Source organism: Homo sapiens, chromosome 2 (genome assembly GCF_000001405.40).
Source record: "Homo sapiens chromosome 2, GRCh38.p14 Primary Assembly".
In the NCBI taxonomy this organism is placed as follows: Eukaryota; Metazoa; Chordata; class Mammalia; order Primates; family Hominidae; genus Homo; species Homo sapiens.
In genome coordinates, this window is record NC_000002.12 from 132367099 (window position 1) to 132387179 (window position 20081).

Consider the following 20081-nt stretch of genomic DNA (forward strand, 5'->3'; position numbering starts at 1 on the left):
CTCCTAGGACTGTGGACTAAAGACATTAAGTAAAGGATTCAGTTGCTGTGAGGCCACGTTGCAAGGTCAGTGTCAAGGCTGGAATCAGCACTTGGGGTTTTGGTAGAGAAGCATCCTCAGCTAAAGCTTTTACTTTTTCTTAAATTCATCCTTATCAGACTTTTAAGATAGATGCTCAGGGATCCCAGGGTCAGATGAAAGTAGGAGAAATCTATTGCTGCTATGCCAGGATCACCAGGTGAGCCTTGAGAAGCGCTGGAATTCATAGAGTCATAGCTCAGCAAAGGAAAAGAGGAGTCCACAGAGTCCAGCCAGTGATGCCCGTATAGCTGAGAAGGGTACAGAAAGGTGAGGGCAGTGTCCAGATGACTGTCCCTCACCATCCTGGTCAGCCCCCTAGGTGTACAGGTGCACAGGTAGGAAGTCCTGAGCTTACTCTGTGTGGGAAAGCCAAGGTTTTGTTTTCTGTTTTTTTTTGTTTGTTTGTTTGGAAGCGGGGTCTCACTCTGTCACCTAGACTGGAATGCAGTGGTGTGATCTTGGCTTACTAAAACCTCCACCTCCCAGGCTCAGGTGATCCTCCCACCTAGCCTCCCAATTAGCTGGGACTACACAGGCACATGCTGCCACACCTGGCTAATTTTTGTATTTTTTGTTGAGATGGGGTTTTGCCATGTTGCCCAGGCTAGTCTTGAACTCCTGAGCTCAAGCAGTCCACCCACCTCGGCCTCCCAAAGTACTGGGATTACAGGGTTGAGCCATTGTACCAGGCCTGGGAGCCAAGGTTCTACATACAGATTTTTAACACAGAATTCTTAAAGCTAACAAAATATCACCAACACCTTATTAGGGGAAAGCAGAATGTTCCCTTATAAGTAATTTACTATTATGAAGTGGTTTGGTGAGGGTGGGGGGTTCAAGGTGACCTGGCCAGAAAATTGGGCTTTTTCTAGCTTTACACATGGCAAGGCAGAGCTACAGGGGAGTCAAAGTTAGTGAGAAGCAAAACCTTAAGAGTGTTTCAGGGGGGGTCCTTTTCCAGATTGGACAACAGCGAACTGGCCTTTCTTTCCTGATAGTCACAGACCTCAGCCCTGCTTACAGAGTCTGTGCACAAATTATCTTTGTGCTCTATAGTTTACCTTTTGACTTAAAGAGTCAATTTTCACCTCACTTTCACGCTAAAACTTCACCCCAAACTGAACATGGAATGTACGTTTCATATATGTTTACTCACTACACACACTCCTGACTTCCCTTATGAATATTCATAGATTTCCTCCAAACCTGATGAATATGTATGTAAGGCTAACCTTGCAAGGCATGAATATACCAGCTTTCCTTTCCCTTCCATGGAGCACATACTTTGTTTTCCTTGGAGGTGGCATTCCCCAATATGCAGATTATTTCTCCCTCTGAAAATAAAGTTTTCTCCTTTCCTTCCTCCATGAGGCTTTTTTGTTTACAATCCTCATCCTCTGCCATATGTCTTCTGCTGGGTTCTCCTAAAGTAGACCTGGAGTTCGAGACTCATGTGTAAATTGTCTGTTAAGGAAGTGTTCCCTGGAGGGCATGGAGAGGAGGAAGAAACGAGACAGGGCTGTGATATTTATTTATTTTATTATACTTTAAGTTCTAGGGTACATGTGCACAACGTGCAGGTTTGTTACATATGTATACACATGCCATGTTGGTGTGCTGCACCCATTAAGTCGTCATTTACATTAGGTATATCTCCTAATGTTATCCCTCCCCCCTCCCCCAACCCTATGACAGGCCCAGGGGTGCGATGTTCCCCTTCCTGTTTCCAAGTGTTCTCATTGTTCAATTCCCACCTATGAGTGAGAACATGCGGTGTTTGGTTTTTTGTCCTTGAGATAGTTGGCTGAGAATGATGGTTTCCAGCTTCATCCATGTCCCTACAAAGGAGTGAAGTCCGCTCCTCAGCTTGATGCCATGGGGCGCTCTGGAGTGGGAATTACCCCACAGTTTATCCCATCTCAAGACAAAGGAGTGGGACTTTCACACTCCCACACCCTTAGTAGTTAGTGCACGGGCAATCACTGAAGAAGGGAACACGTGCTGGCCATTAGGAGCCAAGCATGGAGAAGCTGTGAGACACTGCTGAAGGGATTTTGTAGGCACGTAGGTGGAGGTCAACCAGAAGACAAGTGAGCCGGGATCAGAGCTACCCAGCCAACCTGCAGCTGTGTGAGAAGGGAAGGCTTTTTGGCCTGTACCAGTGAGATTTTTTTGTTGTTTGTCATGCAGCATTATTGCAGCAGTAGCTAACGGTAAGTTATTGTGATTTTTTGGCTCCTTATGGTTTTCCAGTGCTTTGAAATGCAGCTGGACATTCTGCTGCTGGGTTCTGTGGCATACAAAGGATCCTAATTTTAAAAAGCAAAACAAACATTTCGACTTCAGCTAGTTTAAGCCGTTTCTCTTTCCTTGCAAGGAAAAGATTTCCCACCTATCAGCTATGCAGCTGCGGTCGTTCAGGTTAAGATATGATTTAACATACTCTGTGGCTTCTTCTTGGCTTAGAATATTTCTAGACAGTTTTTGAAAGAATATCCCTTGAGCTTAACCAGCCCAAGGTACACTCAACTCCTTTGAGTCTTCATCCAGGATGTCAGCTTTACCTGTGGGTCCTGGCAATTAAGTAACCTTTTATGAGAGTCCTGTAGGGGCCCGGAGGAGCTGGGCTCTGTGTATTGATGAAAGGAACCCAGTGCTTCCTCTCCTCAGAAGCTTGAATGGCAGAAGTGTTCGCAGCCTTGAGCTAAAGCAGGGATAAATCATTCACTGTGGGTTTTTTTTATTATAAAAGCCCAGATGGGCTTCCTGGTAGAAGGTGGCGGAAACAGAGCTGTCTGCCTCCAAAGGGCACCTCTCTATGTCTTCATTCCCAAAGTAGGTGCATAATTAGAAATCCTGCAATTCTTCTTTAAAACGTCTCTAAGGTTTTCCTTAAGATTGTCATTAGTGCCTTAAATTGTAGCATAACTTGATTTTCGTGATTGCTGACACCTCATACTATCAGAATCAAGGTATAATTTCCCCTGAAGTATTAATGAGAAGAAAAGATAAGGCCACTTTGACTTCCTCGAAGCATCCCTATTCTTTTTCTCTGGCGTGTTGCTGTTCTTTTCATTTTAATTTTTAAGAAACATCCAGGCTTTTTGCTGTAATTGCAAAGCAGGGAATTGAGTTGGTTTTGGACTTTATTAGTCTGCTTATGGGTTACAAATGTTTTGGACAATTGTTTAAATTGTAAATTCATGATCTTATTTCTTTTTCCTCTCTGTTTAATTTCCTTTTCTCTTTCTTCCTTGGTTATGAAAATGGGAGAGTTCTCTGAACCCCCTTGCAGGATGTGTGGCTTATCTGTTCAGCCTTCATGTGCACTCAAACCCCCTTAAGGGAGGGAGTGCATGCAGATGGGCAGGTGCAGGAGCCTGGGCGAGTGCCCCTGGGCTCTGGCCCCACAGCAGCATCCAGGGGTGGGTACCTAAGGCTCCTGAAGCCCAAGTGGGCATGTGTTACAGTGTGCTCTCTTAGCTTTGCCGTCCATGGACAGTGTTAACCAGCTTAGTACCCTCTTGGTACCCGGGTCCTGGTCCAGAATCCAGGAAGAATCAGGTCACACACAGACTTGAAGGATGAATGCAGGGGTTTTATTGAGAGGTGGAAGTGGCTCTCAGCAGGATGGATGGGGTGCTGGAAGGGAGATGGAGTGGAAAGATGATCTTCCTCTGGAGTTTGGATGTCCAGAGGCCGATCTCCTCTCCGACTGTCCCCAGTCGAACTCCTGTCAGTGTTCAGATACTCCTTCTCTTCTGTCTGCTGCACGGTTCTGCCATCCATCTGTTTTTCTGTTCATCTCCTCGTCTGCTCATCTGTCCATAGAGCCTGAGGTTTGAGGGCTTATGTGGGTACAGGGTAAGGGGTGTGGCAGGCCAAAAGGCAACTTTTGGGTGCAAAAATAGGAATGCCTGTTCTCAATTCGGGCTGTGGGTTTCCAAGTTTGAGGGTGGGATCTTTGCCAGAGAACGTCCCTCTTCTACACTGTATTTCCCTGTCTTCTGTCCATGTCAGTTAGAGTGTAAGACATTTGGTCAGCAAAATTAACTAGATCATGAGTTTGAGAGGTAGCTCAACCAAGGTATTGTCTCTTTATTATAATTGCCAGTTTTTCATCTAGTCCATTTATAAATTTTGAGTTAAGGAGAATATAATTTTGGTGATTAGAATAACTTTCTTCTGATGGGCCTGAATATTGTTGAAATACTTTTTCAAATCTCTCATAGTATGATATTATAGGCTCATCAAAATTTTGTTGGCATTGCTGTATTTTACTCCAATCAACTACTGTTTTGAAAACTAAGGGAATAGTATCTAGTAAAGACTTGGCAGTACTGCAGGCCCATTCATGATCTGCTTCAGAAAATTTATGCAAGTTTTTCACAATATTCCTGCAGTTTACCTTTGCTACCCAGTCTTGGCTTTTCTTTCTGATATTAACATGTGAACCAATTGGTATATGTCAGAAAATCCAGCCAGAGTCATAAGTTCAAATATTTAGTTCAAATTCTTTAGCAAATTCAATCGAGTTCTGAAGAGGATACAGGAATTCTTTACATCTTTAAGTTCCACTTTTGACCATAATCAATAACCAAGGCAGATTCTCCTCTATCAGACACAGAGTATTCCCAGAATGGAGCCAGAACAGCAGAAGGTAGAGGAGGAAAGAGAAGTAAGTTTGGACAAGGAAGTTCTGGCAAAAGAAAAGAAGATGAAGAAGGGGGAAAATTTTGGGCAGTCATTTTCAAATCAGAAAGTGTTTTAGACAATCTTTTGTTTTCCACTTGCAAAGAAATGACTATTAGAACCTGTCTAGAAACTTCTAAGTACCATTGAAAATAGGTACCATCCCCAGTTATTTTATTTTAGGGCTTGCTTTTTGTAATTGACTGTACTGATAAACTAGGCTAGGTATTTCAAAGGTACTCCATGTGGACCATTGTAATTTGGGGTCTCTGGGAGTTATGTGAGACCATTTTTCTAAATATTTGCATGAAGAAATGCTGTAAGTATTACACATAAGTCCAGTTAGTGTTTCTAAAGGTGATTCTCTCTGTAAGGAGGAAGACTCAGTTTTAGAAGTATAATTGCCCACAATTTAGATCTTCCTTTCGCAAGAGCAAAAATATCTAATGGGATTTTGTTTTGGATCAAGTGTGCAGCTTATAGGAATAGCTCCTCAAGGTGTCAGCCTTGAGTGGGTTCTTCCCTTTTACATGTCTTGGTGGTTCCAAGAAACTTGGTGCTTAAGGCATTAGATGACCAGCCTTTATGTGTGTCCGCTGGGTTAAGCAATGCTCCCTGCATGTTCTTCTTAAAAGACTTCCGTGAGACTGTTCACACTGTAAGTGATTAGCTCCAACATTCCCACAAGACCTTAGCCACCTAAGGTGCCTTTTGGTTAGGAGGAACAGTGTCTTATTTTGTCCTCTTCTTATTTTGGTCACTCAAGAAGAAAGTGTAGATTTATCAGTTGAGCCAAGCTTCAGAATCTGGCCAGCTTTTAAAATTACACTTTTTATTTATTTTTATATTTTTGCTTAAGCCACAAAGATCCACTTCCTCTTTCCAGAGAGAAACTGTTTCCCCACTGACTAAAATTCTGAATGAGAGAAAAGGTTGAAAATCAAAATCTCTAATGAATAATTCCAAAACAACCCCTTAATCTCAGAGAAAAGTAAAACTCACAAATTCATGATTAGCAGAATCTCTAGAGAGTAACAAATGAAACTCCTAGCTTGAGGTAGAGCTTCAATTCCAACTCCGTTGAGTTAGGAATGTGTGTAGCTCAAATAGTCTGAATCCGCAAGCGAGCCTGGGATGATTTGGACCAAGAGGGGCCTTACCAGAGATCTCCATTGACTCTTGTGAAACTGGGTGAATGAAAATCCTTTGCGTTGGTGCTGTTACCAGAAAGGGGTCCTGATCCAGACCCCAAGAGAGGGTTCTTACATCTCATGCAAGAAAGAATTCGGGGTGAATCCACAGAGTAAAGTGAAAGCAAGTTTATTAGAGAAGTAAAGAAACAAAAGAATGGCTACTCCATAGACAGAGCAGCCCTGAGGGCTGCTGGTTGGCTATTTTTATGGTTATTTCTTGATTATATGCTAAACAAAGGGTGGATTATTCATGAGTTTTCCAGGCAAAGAACCTGGAGTTCCTGGAACTGAGGGTTCTTCCCCTTCTTAGACCGTAAAGGGTAACTTGCAGACATGGCCATGGCATTTGTAAACTGTCTGTGGCACTGGTGGGAGTTCTTTAGCATGCTAATGTATTATGATTATTGTATAATGAGCAGTGAGGCTGACCAGAGGTCACTTTAGTCACCATCTTGGTTTTGACAGGTTTTGGTTGGCTTCTTTACTGCATCCTGTTTTATCAGCAAGGTCTTCGTGACCTGTATTTTGTGCCAACCTCCTATTTCATCCTGTGACTAAGAATCCCTAACCTCCTGGGAATGCAGCCTAGCACGTCTCAGCCTCGTTTTACCCCACTCCTATTCCTGGTAGAGTTGCTCTAGTTTGAATGCCTCTGATAGTACCAGTGCCCCATCTGTCGGTGAAGTGACAGGGATCACTGAAGGTCCACAAGAGAATTTCTCAGCTGCAGCACCTGATTAAAGCCTTCTTCCCTGGCAACATTCATCTCAGTGACTGGCATTCTGTGTGGCAAGCAACAGGATCTAGACCACACTCTTAGTGTTTTGGTGACAAGAGTTCATCACGCTACTCAGAACTGCATGTAATTTAAAATGTATGCATTGTTCATTCCTGGAATTTTTCATTTACTGTTTTCTGACTATGATTGACTGTGGGTAACTGAAACCATAGAAAGAGAAACCACAGATAAAGGCAGACTACCATAGTCAGAGGTTGTCAGAATGTTAATCTTAAATAATGAGATTCAGAAAAGATGATTAAGTATAGAGTTTATTTGAGCACAAAGCTTGGGAATGGCCACCCACAAAAGCACTGACTCCAGACAAATAGGGTCAGCATTTGATAAGTGGGGAAGCTAAAGTTTCAATTATATAGGCAAAGACAGAGAAATTCTAGCAGGATTACAACATTTTCCATATAAGATCAGGTATACATGCCATAGCAATTTGATTGTTTACAGATTGCCACATTCCAATAGAGATTACTTTATTACTCTTTGAGGAGGGGCAGTAATCTGAGGGTGTCTTATTTCCAGCACTGCTTGGTCTTTTTAATTATTTACAGAAACAAAAGGAAGAATTTGCAGCTGGATGTCATGTGACTCAGGTTTTATAGGCACATTCAAGACTCAGTATAATTTAAAGTCCCAACAGCTTTAAGTTTGAACTATTTAATTTCACAGCCTAAAATATTTCCTGTCTTAGAAATAAACATTTCATAAGTTTTAAATTGCATGCTGTTCTGAAATCTTGTTACAAAACACCAGAGATTTGTTCTAGGTCCTGTTGCTCACCACACAGAAAACCAGCCACTGAAATGAGTGTCGTCAGGAAAGAAGGCTTTAATCGGGTGCTGCAGCCAAGAAGAGTGGGAATGAGTCTCACATCCATCTCTCTGATGACTAAAATTGGGAGGTTTGTATAGTGGAGAAGGAGGGAAAACAGGAATTAGGGAGGAGTAAGGAAGCAGTTATGATGGATTAAGGGTCTGATGACTCACTGCCTAGATGCAGTGATCTGATGAGTTTCAGTTCATCTCCTGAGGAAGGAACTCAGATGAGACAAATGTAAGTTTGAAGTGTTAAGACCAAGGAGAATCAGCTTCTATGTTTATTCAAAAAACTGTAAATATTAGTTCCATGAGACAATTGAGGCAGTTTCAATCTTCACTTTCTATGTATCAATTCCTCAGTCATGGGGAATCTGCTGGTCATTTCTTTTGGCTGCTTCCTGCGGAAGAGGGGGCATTGTGGGATGATCATGAGGAATGAAAACATTACCCCTGTAAATGGAAGTACTCATGAGTACCTGGCTGGCATCCAGCTTGTTGAAACACCATGTGACTCCAATTGTGTCTTGTTATAATAAAAGAAAACAGATTCTTACTGAAATTAGGGAAATAGCTATATTGCCACAGATTAAGAATATTCAGAAATAGTTTCTGAATTCTGGAGAATTCAAGTAGAGATAGAGAAATATGCATCAGGTTTTGTTTACAAGGCTAAAATAGCTTAAAAAAAGAATTTTTCTTGACTCTGAAAAACAAAACAAAAAGAATTAGCAATGTTTGAAAGAAAAAAGCCACAAAAATTATTTCAGTTCTCTAATAGTTCAGTGCATGCAATTGACTCTTGTATTTGCTTCATATTGGGTTAACAATCTTCATGAACAAAAACAGCTCTGTAATTTTAGTCCTGGCCATTTCTTTTTTTAGTCCAATGGCATAATCACCAAAGTTATCAGAAATCTATATTCAAGAGTCTTTTTCATGGAATCTCCTAAAGAAGTAAGTTGTTTTTTAAAAAAACAAAAACAGGCCGGGTGCAGTGGCTCACGTCTGTAATCCCAGCACTTTGGGAGGCCGAGGCGGGTGGATCACCTGAGGTCAGGATTTCGAGACCAGCCTGGCCAACATGGTGAAACCCCGTCTCCACTAAAAATACAAAAATTAGCTGAGCATGGTGGCAGGCATCTGTTAACCCAGCTACCTGGGAGGCTGAGGCAGGAGAGAGAATCACTTGAACCCGGGGGGTAGAGGTTGCAGTGAGCTGAGATTGTGCCACTGCAATCCAGCCTGGGCAACAGAGCGAGACTCCATCTCAAAACAAAATCAAAAACAAAAAACCAAGACATTTATTCTCTCATGGTTTTTGAGGCTAGAAGTCCAGAATCAAAGCATTAGCTGAGCTGGTCCTTTTTGCAGGTTCTGATAGAGAATTCTGTGCCTTTCACACCACTTTCAGTGGTTGCTGGCAATGCTTGGCGTGGCTCGGCTTGTAGCTGTATCACTGCAATTTCCTCCCTCAGCTGCCCATGGCATTCCACTCTCTGCATCTCTGCATGTCCTTCTTCTTCTCATAAGGGGTCAGTTATCAGATTTAGGGCCCACCTAAAATGATCCTATTTCCAAATAAGGTCACATCTTGACGTTTTGGATGGACACAAATTTTGGAGGGACACTATTCAACCCATTACAATAGTCATCCAGGAACTATCAATGACCCTACTATAATTAAACTACCAATGTTTACACATTCTTCTTTTGTCCGTAGAGATACAGTGACTATAGCAAATTCTTTGGTAATTTCCTAATCCAGAAATGGTGTGGATATTCAGAAATCTAGATCAGCTTTACTCTGTATATGTGTAAGAAAATTTCTAAGACTAAGAAGTAAGTTTTGGACTGTAGCTGATTATAAGCTGCTTTTTGAGAAGAATCAAAATGAAGCAATAATTGTGGATGACAAAAGTCTTAGGACAGCCATAGTTAAAAACACAGTTGACAAAGAAATTTGGTTATTTCTGTGTCATACAACAATTTAACATAGTAATCATTATTACTATCACTGATAACATATACTAAGACATATAAGAATTTTAGGAATCTCATACAACTTTGGAACACATTAATAACATATTTATATAAATATAACCCAAAGAAAGTTAAATACAACTTCATATTTGATAATGTTTTCTGTATAATTTTGACATATCAAATAAGCTTACATGTCTCTCTTGGACTTTGGGGGAACTTAATATCTCAAAAGTTAGTTTGAGGTAAAAAAAAAAAAAACTGAATTAGAACTTGAGATTTTTGCTTTGCAAGTTTGTCAAATATCAAAGATCTAAAGCACTTGATATTCCCAAATAGGATCACAGGTCATTCATCTAGCCAAAATGACAATTCAAAGATTTCAAAAAAATGATAACATTTATTCTTTGATAGAGAGGAGACTCAGTTTCCCAAACAATAAAACCTAATAAAGGCAGCATGAAGCCAACTAAATCTTTCTCTTTCTTTCTTTCTCTTTTTTCTGCAGTTTACTCAAAAGGTAGACAACAATCTTTTATTATCTCTTATTAATATTACATGAAAATTTTGTTCAAAAGATAAAACCAAATTCTAACATTTGTATAGTGTACTATTAATGTTAAAGCTAATTTTAATGGAACCTTATGAATGTATCTATTTAATTTTAATCAGTTTGACCAAAAGATAATATTTCCATAAATCCTTTATAACCTTTTACAATTTTCTACTAAAATGTAGATCAGTGCTCCAAGAAAACCTCGTTATTCTGACACAGGGTCCCAGATGCTGGCCTTGCATTGGTGTGCTTTTGATATTAATGTTTAATTTGTAGAAAAATTCTGAACTAATCTTATCTCTCAAAATCGGCCCTTAAAATCTCATGCACTCACCTCTTCCTTGATAGTCCCTAGGCCTGGAAGGATTGAATAGTTTTAATATATAGCTCTGTGTCTCATGAAAGCAACTCATTTTGATTGTTGCCTTCTCCCAGGTCTGAAGACAAGGCTTTGACTGGTGTCAATGTTTAAGATTTAGCAGGAGTCGGTGCCTTTTTCAGACCCAGGAGTTAAAGGCCTGTAACTTGACAGCCAAGGACTTTAAAAGCAATACAGAAAGTTACACGGATGTAAAAACCTTAATTTATTTATATTTTAATTTTATTTATTTTATTGAGACAGGCTTTTGCTCTGTTCCCCAGGTCAGAGTGCAGTGGTGCAATCATGGCCTGCTGTAAGCCTCCACCTCCTGAGCTCAAGCAATCCTCCCATCTCAGCCTCCCAAATAACTAGGACTACAGGAAAGTGCCACACACCTTGCTATTTTTTTTTTTTTTTTTGGTAGAGATGGGACCTCCCTACGTTGCCTAGGCTGGTCTTAAACTCCTGGGCTCAAGTGATCCTCCCATCTCTGTTTCCCAAAGTGTTGGGGTTACAGGCATGAGCCACCATGCCTGGCCCTTCATTCCTTTTAATTCCAGTTTTCTTAAGCCATCAAAAACCTAATAACAATGACATAGGAATTATCTCAATAAAACATAGAATCTGTTTCTTAGGCCAGTTACCAAAAAGCAAAGAAAGATCATATGTAGTATGGTTGTCTCTCCTATGGTATCTTAACTTTTTCATATTCCTCTCCCCTGCTTACTGTTTCCTTTCTTCTTTATTTTATAAATCACCTTTTCAAGTCCATAATGTGAATCAACCTTTAGATAACTTTTGAATTTAGAGAATTTTTTTCTCAGTAGGGATACATTTTCTTTGTCACATTTTATATACAGAATTATATATTAATTAGAATTCTTATTCTTTAGCAACCTTACATTTTAATGAAAAACCTAGGAAGCAAGAAATATTGAACTATCTATCAGATATCAGCATCTTTTAGATAAGAACATTCCATAATTTTTAAAAACATGTTTCCCCATTTTATAATCCCTTCTTAATTAGAAATTACCAAGACATTTAATGACCATTCAAATGATTTCAAGATTTTAAATTACACAAAAATTTCACCCACAGTATTTACCCCATTTATATTTTATTCACTTTTAGCAATTTATCTAGATTACTTAGGAGAACTGAGATATTAGACAAAACTAGTCATTATTTCTTTGTCAACTAATTTTTATAACCTGTGCATATTAGGTGTTCACCTAAGTAAGAAGCTTAAGGTTAAATACCTGGGTATTTTCATCAATAACTCAGAAGATTCAGCTGTTTTCATAAAACCAAAAACATGAAATTAGTCTTATTTATCAAAAAAATCACTCAAAGATCATTTTGTTTTTGGTTGGGTTTATAGTCTTATAATCTTTTGTGCCAAACCCTGACATCTTTAAATATGTAGCACAGGCAAATATAAAACCTGGACCAAAAATGTATGCTGAATATTCCAAAGACATTTCTATTTTTATTTTACCCATAATCTTAAAGCCAGCTTGTTTATTAAATATTTACTAAAGTCATGTGAACTTGAAAAATGCTTAGACTTATTAACTTATGGGTGCTCTTTTGTTTACAAGCCAATTTGGTACTCTGTAGACACAATATATAATAAATGTACATTCACATAAACACATCTAGACATATATGCACACACACACAAAAAGATCCAATAGCTTTTACCTTGAAACTCTAGCCATGAGATAAAAACATAAATTTATCAGTTTACAAACATGTTCACATGGCTAAACTTTGTTTACCTCAATAGATAATCCAATGAGGGCTGTGACCAAAATTTTGGGTAAAGCAATGGTAGTTTAATTCTAAAGGACAAACCTCCCAAAACTCCAAAGAACACTGGGGGCCAAGCATACTACAGAAGAATGTCACATACTAACTGTGCCCGACTAGGGTTAGAACAGAAGCATAAAAGCCTGCATACATGGAGCTCCATCCTATTTTCCCATTCAACAGCAAAATGAATCCATTTGTAAGACAGTACTACAATTGAAAGACTCATGGAGTCCAAGCCTCCCCAAACTCCAAAGAATGTTGGGACAAATAGCATTACAAAAGAATAGTATTTTTCTTTGTTCTTTTCGTTTATAACTATATGCAGACCAATTTTGAAGAACACACCCAAGTCAACTGCATTCTAGAATCAAATTCCAATTTCCCATGACTATATCAACACACAGAAAAAAAATAATCAAAAATACAGTCTAACTGCAGTAGTGACTAACAAGCCCCAACAGTATCTGAACTGTAGTTGAGGTGCTTCCCTTTTATAGTTGGTTGGGCTTGTTCAACCTGCAAACAGAAATTCCTTCAAAATTCCCCATATCAAGAGGAACTGATCCTGCTCTCTGATATCCACAAAAGATGCTCATTTATCTGGTTACACACACAATTACTAACAAGCCCCCAGGAGTGTCCAGACCGAAATGGTCAGAGTGCTTCCCTTTTTCAATTGGTTGGGCTTGTTCAACCTGCAAACAAAAATTCCTTTAAAATTTCCCAAATTGAGAAGAGCAGATTCCACTGACTGGGCCCACACAAGACACTCACTGATGTGGAGGCAGATGTCATATTTCAAAGGCTGTCTTCCTAGGCAATCAGGAATACAGTTGGGGCTGGCAACAGTGCGAGCAGAGAGAGAGACACAAAAATCTACCTCTGGCTAAAAAGAGACAGATGGCTAGCTGCTTAGGAGGGCTTCTGAGACTCTCCTGTCCCTCGACAGCCAAGTCACGAGCAATGCACTCCTGATCAGGGAACCAAGATCTGTTAGCAAAATGCCAGGGGTTTGGTCTAGGTCCTGCAGCTCACTGCACAGAAAGCCAATCGCTGAGACAACAAGTATTGCCAGGGAAGAAGGCTTTAATCAGATGCTGCAGCTGAGGAGAACAGAAAATAAGTCTCAAATCCATCTCTCCAACTGACTAAAATTGGGGGATTTCTCTTCAAGGAACCCTTATTTTACTTAATAGTGGCCCCAAAGCACAAAAGTAGTGATGTTGGCATACTGTTATGATTGTTCTATTTTATTATTAGTTATTATGGTTAGTCTCTTACTGTGCCTAAATTATAAATTAAACTTCATCATAGATATATAATAGTATATATAAAGAGTTTGGTTGTGGTTTCAGGTATCCACTGGGGGCCTTAGAATGTACCCCCCTTGGATACTGGAGGACTAAAGTAGATGTTTTCTAAAGTTTCTCACAGATCCAACATTCCAAAGTTCTTCATTTCCAGCAAATTCAGCTCAGAGAGTTAGAGTCAAACTTTATTTGAAGACTTTAGTAATTCAATGTCAATTGGAAGTGATTTACAAAATGGAACAAACACTAACTTTGTAAAACATAGAAAAAATATTTTTAAAGCATAGTACATAACAAAATACCTTTCTTGGAGGTATTATAAAAAATTCCCTGGAATGGAAAATATATTTTGAGGAAAATCTTGAAAATTGCAAAGCATTTTTAAAGAGAGTTAAACCCTGGGCTAAAGTTGTGGCAGACACCCATGCCCCATCCCACCATCCTGGCCAGGTGCCACTTCCATGTGCTGTCCTCTAGGAATAGGGGCTGGCTGAGTTCAGGAAAGCAGCATTAGGGTTGTAGGAGTGATTCAGTTTTTCACTGCTAAGAGGTGAAAAAAATTTTACTTTTAAAAAGAAAATGTATTATCAGATCTCAAGTATGTTTTTTTCCCTTAAGAATGAAACTTTCACTTTGTTGAGTGTATTTAATTTTATTTATTCATTTTCCTTCCTGAAATTTTGGACTCCTTTATTAGGCTGACAAAGCCCACTGCCATTCATATTCAACTTACCTGCATAATGGTCTCATTTGCAATTTGTGGGTACGCTGAAGGAGCGTTGCTGGGCTGTCCTTCTGACTTTCTTCTGCTGTGAAGACCATTTGTGAGTTTCCAGGCAATGGGCGGGTGGGAGGGAATTCTCCCAACTGTAAAACCCAGGCTTTCAAACACTTGAATGCCAACAGTTCAACTCTTTTATCAGAGCCTTGGCATTATTCCTGAAGCTCCTCACAATAAACTTCTGTACCAAATTAATTAAAGAAAAGCCTGATAATTCCATTCCGAGGCATTCCAATGAAAGTAATTTCAGATACATAATGCACAATTAGCTTTTCCACTTAACTTCCAAATGAAATGCTCATGGTATTTAGTACCATTTGCATTAATCAGCACAACCATCAAATCCTTAGGCAGAAGAGAGAAACTGAAAATCTTGGGGAAGAAGATCTTCTTGAAGTGTGGTGGTCATTAGATTATCTGTGTGAAGTGTGGTGGTCATTAAGCTATCTAAATAAATGGTAGACAAGTGGCTACAGGGCTACCTCCTGCCTTTCATAAAGAAGGAGCAATTTTAGGAAAGAATATGATGGGACCTACTGTAGAAGAAAAATTATTCACTGGACACTTGTTAAAACAGTAAGAAAAAAAAAAACAGTAAGAAAGACTTTGTTCAAGACTATTATAATACCAGTCAACTCTATTGCAATAGGAGAGAGAGATTGAGCTAAACTCCTAATACAGCAGACAGCTTGGGACTTAGGGCCAATGGGCAGAATGAGAGGTCAGTGGATGGAAAATTACTAAGAGGTGACACCAAGGGTAGGAAGATTCTTGCTAAAAACAGGCAGAGAACTCAGATATCAAGGATGGGGGCGGGGAGGAACTGATCAGATATCAAGGGTGGGAGATGACTTAGAAGGATTCTTGCTAACATGGAGCTCACCAAGGGCACACAGAAAACCAAGGTGAGGCCTGGTAGAGAAAAGGGCTCAGGGGAGTCTAACTAAAGTTTGGTTAAGGAGGGCCGTCTTTGTCACTGATCTTCAGCTATTTTGTGATAAAATAGTAGAACGTGGGCTCATGAGGAAATCACAGGGTTAAACATTAGGCACTGGGCAGAATTCAGTGAAGATGGTTATCTGTGGGAGAAAGGGAACTAATGAAGACCACAGAGGCTTTACCTCCTGGGCAACCCTTCAAAGTCCAGAGTCATTGGTGTATTACCTGTGAGTTGGTGTGGCCCTGCCTAAGAACATGTACAATCTCAGCATCGCAACAAGGCTCCTGTGGGAGCCCCGGGTGAGTTATTGCTGGTGTTGCCTGCCAGAAGCTGCACCTCCAGTTAGTTGCTCATCACAAGGGGAGGCTGGCTGAGGTGCCATTGGCTCCCACCCCAGCAGCAGGCATAGAAAAACTCCCAGGTGAGGTGAGGGCCCATCCTGACCCAAGGTTTTCCTATTGCCAACATTACACAGCAGTGCTCCTGCATGGCTGGCCCCGTCCTACCTCTTTAGTTTCCACAAATCTTTTACATCCGGTTTCTCTATCATCTATCCAACTACTAGTTCTTCCTTCTGGGATCTGGTGTGTCCAGTATGCTGTTGCTGGTCAAGTCAGTATTGAATTGATAATACATTTATGTAGCCTGAAGCCCATAAACTCTAAAAATACAATATGTTCACTTGCACAAGCCCACAAAAGATCTTATGCCCTGTTCCTACAATCTCTTCATCAATAAGGTGCATGAAGGGCATGCCAAAATTAAATCCTGGCATGGAGAGATGCTACAGAAGACAGGCCATGTAGAGACAACTGGAAGCAAAGTGAATGTCACTTTTTTTTTTTTTTTTTTTTAAACAGAGTCTCCCTCTGTCGCCAGGCTGGAGTACAGTGGCATGATCTCGGCTCACTGCAACCTCCACCTCCTGGGTTCAAGTGATTCTCCTGCCTCAGCCTCCCGAGTAGCTGGGACTACAGGCGCACACCACCATGCCCAGCTAATTTTTTTTTTTTTTTTTTTTTTTTTTTTTGAGACAGAGTCTCGCTCTGTCGCCCAGGCTGGAGTGCAGTGGCGGGATGTCGGCTCACTGCAAGCTCCGCCTCCCGGGTTCACGCCATTCTCCTGCCTCAGCCTCCCAAGTAGCTGGGACTACAGGCGCCCGCCACTACGCCCGGCTAATTTTTTGTATTTTTAGTAGAGACGGGGTTTCACCATGTTGGCCAGAATGGTCTCGATCTCTTGACCTCGTGATCCGCCCGCCTCGGCCTCACAAAGTTTAACTAGGTTCTCAGTAACCTGAGACTGAGAGCTAGTTGTGAGATCGGTGACTCTACTGTCATGTGATGGTGTTGTGATGTATTATCCATATGTTAAGGATCATATTAAACACACACATTTACAGTGGACCTACTGTCAGTTCATATTTAACTTACCTGCATCATGGTCTCATTTACAATTGGTGGACACCCTGAAGAAGGCTTGCAGCTGAAGTAGCTGCCAGGCAGGTTTTACTTAATTCTTGTTTATTCACAAGGAACTGAGGCTCTGACAGGCTGAGAGGTCTGCCTAAGGTTGTAGGGGAAAAAAGTGACAGGGCTGGAAGTCGAGCCTCACCGTTGTGATTCCAAGACCAGACTCTTTCCTACATGTCGATAGTCATCTGTACACACCATCAGTGCTGGTCAGTGCGCCTCACTCACCCACTAAAGACTGGCCATCTAACTTCCGAATTCAAGGGTACCTCCCTTATCTTGCAGCCATCTGTTGCCTGCCGCAGCAGCAGGGAGGAATTAAGAGCAGCAGCTGCAGCTCCAGCAGCTCAGGGGCAGCTCTGGGCTCCCTAAATCCACCAGTGGAGACCCACGTGCAGTTGTGGGGAAAAGTTTAACTGCCTTGATCGTTTTCCTTCCAGTATGTTCTGCCTTTAGCTTGCCTACCTGGTCCTGTCTGCTGGCTTGGCATTGACTTTCAGAGAGATATGCTCCAGACTACACAAGTGGTTTTAAGCTCCTGGCTGTGTTGATCACTGTTCTTTCCCCTGGGCCTCCAGTTTTTCTGTGCCTGTCCTGCATCTCTGAAATCAAGTGATATTTATTCATAGCTCTCTAAACCTCTGGCTTGGGTTTCTTCTGGTAAAGACGAACTCTTCTTTCTGCTGAGGAACTATGCAACACTCTGGCCTTCTCTCTACTTCCTCTTTCATCCCTAAACCTTTCAGGAAGTGAAAGATAGGTCTTGTTTAGAAAAAATGTGGAAGCTGCTTCAGCACAGGTCTGTGGCCACTCTAGTCTGTTTGGCTTCCTCTGTTTTCTGCAGCCTTGACTTGATGCCACTTGTGCACCCGGCAGCATGGGCATCGGCATCTATTGTGCTGGCAAGGGTGGAGGAGAAACAGCTTTGCTGTTAGTCCTGGCCTGAGCATTGCTCATAGTGCCGACTTTAATTACCAAACCTTTATCAATGGATCCCACAAAAGGCTTTGGTTCATTCCATTTTGCTTTCCCCTAATTTACTTTTGAGAATGCTGGCTGAAAGCTTTAGTCATTCACAAAGTTGGCTTCTGACCTAGAAATCTCTCACTTTCTTTGGCCTGAGTGCTTGGCATCTCTACTCCCTCCAGCTACCACATTCTTCAGCTCCTTTGGAAAGATCAGTATTATTCACAGTGGTAATCAAAGAGGCATCATTTACAGTCTTATCTCATCTCTCAACTTCTCCATCATGATTGGAAAATTGATTCCCTACTGAATCAATCAATATGGCACAGCCATATTTCTTATGCAATAATATTAAACTTTCCCTATTAACAATTGATTCATGTCCCTTGTTGTGAATGTAACACAAAGAAATGAAGTATCCTAATAAATGAATTGGACCTGGCTGGCTACAGTGTAGAACCACTTGTTGGCGTCCTCACACCAGGGCATGTGGGAAGAAGTGCATTGGCACATCTGTGGCCATACCCATTCCTGAGGGAGGTGAAGAGATGGATTGAGGCTGGAGATGCTTGGGAAAGGTGTTCATAAAAAATACCCTCACTTATCAGCAAACTCAGAGATAAAGAAGAGGCACAATTCAAGGCTTTCAGATGTCAATTTCTTTCCAAACTAGAGTAAGAATTCAGCGTAAGTAAATCCATAGGGATAGAAATTGGATTAGTGGTTGCCAGAGAGTGGCAAAAGGAGAGTTGGGATTGACTGCTAATAATTTATTTTTGGGGTGATGAGAATGTATGGGACCAGATACTTGTGATGGTTACACAACCTTGTAAATATGCTAAAAACCACTGCATTGTACACCTTAGAAAATGGTAAAAAAATGTTTTGGCCAGCAGGGACCTCACAGCTCCTCTGGTCAGGACATGTGCCAGACTAACCAACTGTCTTCATTTGTCTGGGACTAAAGAGGTTCCTGGGGTCTGAGACTGTCACTGCTGAAACCAGTGACAAAGCAGGATGATTCAGTCACCCTAGTGTGTGCTGGGGCACTGTTCAAGGATGACAGCGAAGGCAGGCAACCTCCCATTTAACAGGGCTATTTCTCATTCACAATGCTCTTACTACCACCTTGTGAAGTAGCTGCCAGGGCAGGTTTTACTTAATTCTTGTTTATTCACAAGGAACTGAGGCTCTAACAGGCTGAGAGGTCTGCCTAAGGTTGTAGGGGAAATAAGTGACAGGGCTGGAAGTCGAGCCTCACCCTTGTGATTCCAAGTCCAGACTCTTTCCTGCATGCGTATAGTCATTTTTACACACCATCAGTCTGGTCAGTGTGCCTCACTCACCCACTAAAGGCCGGTCATCTAACTTCCAATTCAAGAGTACCTCTTTCATCTTTCCTTCCCACCCCTAGAAGCTGCCTCCTGTGAAACCTCTCCTAACACAGTGATCCACCCAGCACCATCTCTAAGTTCATCTTCCTTGTCCCTCTGCCATCTCTGTAGGCAGGGACTGTGTCTCAGTCATCTCTGCTCTTGGTTCCTATTACCTTGCCTGGTGCTCGATAAGCCCCAGCTGAAGGAAGCCTGGTGTCTGTTCCAAAGAACAAACAGGAACAGAGGTCTCAGATAAGAGAATATCCTGTTGTCCATCTCTTTGCTATTCCTTTCTTAAGGCCGAATGAGTCTCTTTTCCTGATGTGTTCATATTTCTTAGGTGTCATTTTCTGAGGAGCTTGCGGGTGGAGCTGTCACAATCTGTCTCTTTTCCTGGGTTCTGAAGTGCTGCTTTTCAAAATGTGTTGTAAACATGCTCCAAAGGCCAAGCCAAGCCAATGGGCAACAGGCAATGAGTGGTACAGCTCATGCAGTGAGGCCTGTGGCCTGGGGGAAAGGATGTGCCAGGAGGCAGGCAGGCTTCCTGGCAGGAAGGCAGTTCTGGAAAGTCTTAATATCAGGGAAGACTGTCATCAATCTTGACCATAGGTTGCATGCCAGTATGGGGATAGGTGGGTAAAGCGAGGGTGCTACTGCCAGAAGTAAGGCAGGGTTCCAGATCCAGAGAGATGGAGTGCTGGAATACTCTAGGCACAAGGTTTCAGAACTGAGTTAAAGGTAAAAAGATTGGGGCAACATAGGCAATGTGACGTCAAATCCAAGGGTATGGAATTAGAAGACCCAGACGATGGGGCTCCAATGACCAAGGGATGCTAGTTGGGGAGGCAGGTGGGCAGAAACTGTGACCAAGAAGAACTTGGCACAGATGATCCATTTAAATGAGAGGGTGGAGCTGTCCTTGCAAACCAATGATGCAGCTGATG